This window comes from Homo sapiens, chromosome 11 (genome assembly GCF_000001405.40).
Source record: "Homo sapiens chromosome 11, GRCh38.p14 Primary Assembly".
In the NCBI taxonomy this organism is placed as follows: Eukaryota; Metazoa; Chordata; class Mammalia; order Primates; family Hominidae; genus Homo; species Homo sapiens.
The window spans coordinates 20,207,679-20,213,892 of NC_000011.10; the positions used below are offsets into that span (position 1 = coordinate 20,207,679).

The following is a 6,214-nucleotide window of genomic DNA, read 5'->3' on the forward strand; positions in this document are numbered from 1 at the left end:
CCTCCCAAAGTGCTAGGATTACAGGCGTGAGCCCCGGGGCCCTGCCAGAAAGGAGGCTTTTTACCAACAAATTTTAAAAAGAAACAACAAACCAAAGAATTTTGCCATGGACAGTGGCAAAGTATCTGCTGTGCTGTTTCTGACCCTCCATAAAAATCATGTTCAGAAATGGTAAAAAGGCTAACGAAGATCAAACAAGAAGAGACAGAATCACGGGCGAAGGGGGCGCATTCAGGGTTTTCTGGACGTCAGGAAGGGACCGCGGTGGGGTGCTTTAGAAGTGGCCGGAGCCCGCACCTGCATGCAGCTCGCGCAGAAAGCGCCTGGACGCTCCCTTAGGACCGTTTGCATTCTGGCCGCTCGACAAAAACACCCTTTTGAAAAGGTGGTACTCACTGGGCTGTCAGAATTAAGGAACACCAAATTAAGGCTAATAAAACCGTGCTGGGCTCAGAACTGAGCCTTGGTTTTAATCCCGATGCTTTGGATTAATACCAGGCTCTAATTTCAAACATTCAGGGCAGCTCTTTGGAAGAAATAAAGAAGACAAGAACGTCATACAGATTTATTAAACAAACATTTGTGTTTGTTTATGCTAGAAGAGCTGGGGGGTTGCGTTTTTTGCCAAGAGCACCCCTAACAGTTAAGAAAGTGCGAAGGGAGTCATTGCGAAGGCAGCCAAAGACCGAAGCGGCGCCCTGCAAGTTCTTCCCAAGTCCTCTTGGGAAAGGCGAGCCTGAGAGGGAGAGGCGCTTTTCACCAAAAGGTGTTTTGCAGAGGGCGGGAGGGAGCTCCCCGCTTCCAGCTCCCGGAGTGGCCTGGAGCCTGTGCCCAAAGGTAGGCATGGTGGAGCGGTTGGAATCTGGTTCACAGCAACCAGCCAGGGTCTTGTGAACAACCCTTCAGCCGTCAGAAGTTCTCGCCAAAGGGTGCTTGGAGAGGGCTGGCCTTTGAGTGGAGTTTATGTTGCAATTGTTCTTTCTTGTTCTTTTCAGTCCAATGTGAAAACAAAGGGCATAATTGGGTCTACTGGCCTGCGGGTTGTGGGTGCATTTCAGACTCTGGGCTGGGAAATCATGCACCCGTGTCGCATTCCCACTCCAGACGCCGCAGTTTTGAGGCGCAATGGGGCCTTTGGCCTGATCATACTCAGGAATCCTTTTAGGCCCTTTGGCCTAGAGGCCAGAGCCGGGGTCTGCAGAGACGCAGGCACTCTCTGTCCCCGCGAGCCCCACCACTGGGTTGCTGCTTTTGAGCCGGTTGCTTCGGGCCGGCAGCCCTTCTTATTTCAGCACAAAAGGTTTGAGGTGCATTGCTTTCTTTGGCGTAAAGCCCTTGCGGGGTCAGAGTGAAATCTCCGCCTTTTTTCAGGAGCATTGCAACACAAAAGATTTAAGGGGGGAAATTGTTAAAAGGAAGCCCTTTTCTCTTTAGGCTGAATGCAGTGGGGAGATTAAAACTTTCATTGAGATTTTGTTGTATTCATGGTGGTGGGGCCGTGAATAGGGCTGGGCTAAAGCCCCCTGCGCTGGTGTGTGCCCTTTTATCTCCGGCACATCTTCAGACACAGGTTGTTTTGCACTTGAAAGAGAGGAAAGAGGGGAATGTGGGATTTTGACAGCTGATATTGGCCTCTGAACTCTTGATGGGGATTTTCTAATTAACCCCAAGTACCCATCAGGTGGCCAAAAAGGAATGATTTCTGTCAGAAAGGGCAAAAAGTTTCCCATTTTGAGCAAATGGAAGGGGGAATGGTTAACATCCAGAGTAAGGAAATGTAGAAAGACCCTCAATGCAGAATCCGAAAAGCCAGCTGTCTGCAGGTTGGGTTGAGTGAAGTGTGGGGACATCAGTAAGAGAGGCTGTTAAGTACCATTTTGGCATCATCAGATTCAGAACACTTGGGAAAAGTAAATGTGGTTCCGGAGACTCAGAGAAAATAACTCCCTGTGCTTTTGAAAGCCAAGATCAGCTGAGAAGCTTGGGTGAAGAGCTCAAGCTCTTAGTTTTACCATTAGGTCTACATGAGAGATTCCCATTTGTTTGTTTATTGTAATTCTAGTTCCTACTTAAGACTCTTGGCCAAGACCCTAACATACCATACATGAACTGAAATAAATTCCACATGGTTTTAGAGAAAGCACCTCCAGTGGTAGAAATAGCATATCAGCCTTTGTAAATGGAGCGAGAACTACTGATTCATCGGCTCCGAAGCAAAACCATGTGGCTTGTTTTGGAACAAGTCCTAAGAAGGAATAATAAGTTTGAAGTTTGGATGATGAGCTGCCAAGCTCTAAGTCCCCTGGGGATCCAGATTCAGTGTTTTGGGGGATATGGTCCCTGGAAGGTACATGGTTGAACAAGGCCCCACACAGGTGATTCTTCTGATTGGGCCAAGCTCTAACGCAGCGTTTCCCAGGTTTCTCTTATGATAACAACACTAAGCTTGTTTAAAAAACAAACAAACAAACAAATTTTGGGTGTCCATCTTCATACTGAAACAAAACTCCGGTGGATAGATTATGGGGAAAAAATGTATATTTTTAACAAACTTCTCAGAGTGCTATGAAGGCCCCCAAATCTGATTTTTTTCCTATGCCACTGGTTGCTGCTTCTGAGCCTTACAGATTCCTTTTTAAAATTTAAAATTTATTTTTAGTTGATAAATAATTGTATGTGTGTATGGAGTACAGTGTGATGTTTTGATCTATGTACACATTATAGAAAGAGTCACTTGAGCTAATTAACAGATGCCTTTTCATTTCCCTGACCTCAAAATGTTGGAGAGCCCCATGGCTCAGTCTTGAGTACTGTTCTTTTTAGGCTTCACCTCCTGGGTGCACTCCTCCAGCCTTGTAGGTTTCTACTAGACACCCAGAGTTATACCTCCAGCTCAGTGTCCCCCTGAACCCTAGACTCTCTGTATATCTATTTGCTTGCTTGGTATCTCCACTTGGCCTTGGTCTTTGGTTTGGGGTATTCTCTCCCCAGGTATCAGAGAGAAGGCCAGTGTGCCTGGAGCATGACATGCTATGGAAGAACAGTAGATAAGGCTGGAGTGGAAGACAAAAGCCAGCTCATGTAGAGCCCCTTAGGCCATAGGAAGGAGCCTAGGTTTTATTTGAAGTGACTTTGGGTGGTTTTAAAAAGTTCAGAGAGTTGGGGAGACATTACTTGATCTATTTAAGGTTTTAAAAGGACACTCGGGCTGTCATTAGAAGAAGAAATTGTAGAAGGGCAAGAAATGCAGAAGATGGCAGAGCAGTTAGGAGTCTTTTGCAGTAGTCCAGGCAAGAGATAATTGTGGCTTAGTCAAAGGGAAAGGAGTGGGCAGTGGGGATAATTTTGAAAGGATGGGATTTAGAGCAGGAGGAACAAAAATCAGGATGACTCCCAGGTTTTTGGTTTAGTAATTTAGATGGGGGTGCCATTTACTGAGAGAAGTAGAAGACTGTTTTCTATCCATTTTCGTGTCATAACACATATACTAATTGATAATATTTGTAAGATTTAGCTGGATAAACTAGAGGAGATTTGCAGATGTCTAAGGTGAAATTTTTCACTGTTTTTCTATATATGATACGATTATAAGAAAAATCAAATACAAAGTATTAGGAAGGATTTAAATCTCAAATATGTAACACAAGTAAATACGTCAAAAATATATTTCAAATAAAATCTCTTAAAAATGTGATGAGAAACTTGTTTGGGAATATTGCTTGGGAACAAGGGGGAACATTGCTTCAATGATCAAGACTTGAAAAAAAAATGGTTTTAAGCTTGAAATAGCTTATACAATTCTAACAAAGACTACTTAACAATAAGCTCTTAAAATTCCTGAAAAACACAATCAGTGAAAACTTGTATTCACACAGGAAACATAAGTTAAACTATTTTTATCATCATTCAAAAATTTTAATAATTGCAGTTAAATTTTAGAACTTTTAGTGCTAAAATCTTTGGTATTTTAAATGAATTTCAAATCCAATCAAATGTTTTCATTTACTGTATTTATGTGTTCATTCAACAAATATTTATTGAAGATTACTATGTTCAGGTACTGTTCTAGCCACATAAATACGAAGCACTTCAAAATAATGAAACTCTAATTTGCAGAGTCTGCTTGCCTAACACACCAGCTCATTTGTTACAATATGTCATCTGACATATGGGAAAGGAGAGGGTAGAAACCACCACCTGGAGATGCACCTGTGTGGTCTCTAGCTCCCGCCTCCTTGGTCTGTAGCTCTCTACAGAGGTCTCCCGCCCTCTAGCTCTGGGCTCTTTGGGCACCTGAAATTCCTCTAGTATCTCCGTGGGTGCCCTGCAGCTGACTGTGAAAGGAGAAATCCAGGCCATGCTCAACTCACTGGGTGCTTGAGTAGATCCCATAAAGCCAGAGGTTGCTATCCCAGGGCCTCTAGTGGCCACCCTCACAGCCTAACATGATGCTACCGGTGGGTGCCACAGCACATTGGGTAAGGTACTCTGACCCAACCAGTTCTAGTCAATGAGCAGAACTGTTATGAACTGACTTGTGTCCTCCCAAAATTCATATGTTGAAGCCATAACTTCCAATGTGACTATATTTGGAGAAAGGGTCTTTAAGGAGGTAACTAAAGTTAAATGAAGTCATAGGGCTGGGGCCCTAATTCAATGTGACTGGTGTTCTTCTAAGAAAAGGGAGAGACACCAGGGATGCAAGCCCAAAGAGCAAAGGCCAAGTGAGGACACAGCAAGAAGGCGGCCCTCTGCAAGCCAAGGAGAGAGGCCTCAGGGGAAACCAAACTTGCCAGCACTCATCTCTCGGACTTCCAGCCCCTAGAACTATGAGAAAATAAATTTCTGTTGTTTAACCCACTGAGTCTAAGGTATTTTATTATGGCACCCCCCAGCAGACTAATACAAGAATGGAGCCAAATGCAGTGGTTTTCAATCTTGGCTCCCTATTAGGATCACTGAGGAGCTTTAGGCAAATGCCTGGGTTCTACCCTCAGAAATTCTGATTTGATTGGCCAGCTGTGTAACCTGCCTATCAGGACACTTAAAAAGTTCCACAGGTGAGCCTAATGTGCAGGCAAGGTAAGAATCACTGGGGCAATAGATAGAAATTTTAAGGAGACAGATTTAATTCTTTCTGAAAATAATCCAAACCTTTGTCTTGGGTCAACTAATTAGCACCTGGTATTAATCCAAAGCATCAGGATTAAAACCAAGGCTCAGTTCTGAGCCCAACACGGTTCTGTTGGCCTTAATTTGGTGTTCCTCAATTCTGACAGCCCAGTGAATACCACCTTTTCAAAAGGGTGTTTTTGTCGAGCGGCCAGAATGCAAAAGGTCCTAAGGAAGTGTCCAGGCGCTTTCTGCGTGAGCTGCGTGCAGGGGCGGGCTCCGGCCCCTTCTAAAGCTGCCCCCGCAGTCCCTTCCTGACGTCCAGAAAACCCTTAATGTGCCCCTTTTGCCCGTGATTCTGTCTCTTGTTTGACCTTCGTTAGCCTTTTTACCATTTCTGGTCCCGGTGCAGTGACTCACGCCTGTAATCCCAGCACTTTGGGAGTCCGAGGAGGGCGTATCATCTGAGGTCAGGAGTTTGAGACCAGCCTGGCCAATATGGTGAAACCCTGTCTCTACTAGAAATACAAAAATTAGCCAGGCGTGGTGGCTTGCGCCTGTAGTCCCAGCTACTCGGGAGGCTGAGGTAGAAAAATCGCTTGAACCCGGGAGGCAGAGGTTGCAATGAGCTGAGATCGTGCCACTGCACCCTAGCCTGGGTAACAGAGCAAGACTGTGTTTCAAAAAAAAAAAAAAAAAAAAATTGTGAGACTTTCATCCTGAAAAGTATTTAAGCAGAGATTGGAAATAGTGTAGGGGTTTTGGGGGAGAGTTTGGACCAGATGACCAGGATGCCATTCCTACCGGCAGATGAACATCCATGTCATCACCCTCAACATGCATTCTCACTTCCACCTGACCCCACACTTGAGCACCCTGGATTGATATCTTACTGTGTCATTTCTGATCCCCACCACTTATTTTCTCAGTTGCCTTATTTGGGTGTGTTTCTCTGTGGACTTCCAGGTCCTTACCATTAAAAGAAGAGGCTAAACTTGATGTGTTCTAAGGTCTTTTCCAGATATCAGATTTCTTAATTTTAACCAAATAAAAATATAGCTTCCTGACTGTAATAGGAGATGAGAATTAAGCTGGCCACTTC

At 44.5% G+C, this 6,214-nt stretch overlaps 1 annotated feature.

Moving 5' to 3' along the window:
* Positions 5,693-5,923: a silencer, noted in NCBI's record as "fragment chr11:20234917-20235147 (GRCh37/hg19 assembly coordinates)". NCBI's record gives its function as "represses an EF-1alpha promoter that drives an FKBP-Casp9 reporter gene in an ReSE screen in K562 erythroleukemia cells {active_cell/tissue: K562}" and the evidence as "EXISTENCE:reporter gene assay evidence [ECO:0000049][PMID:32094911]".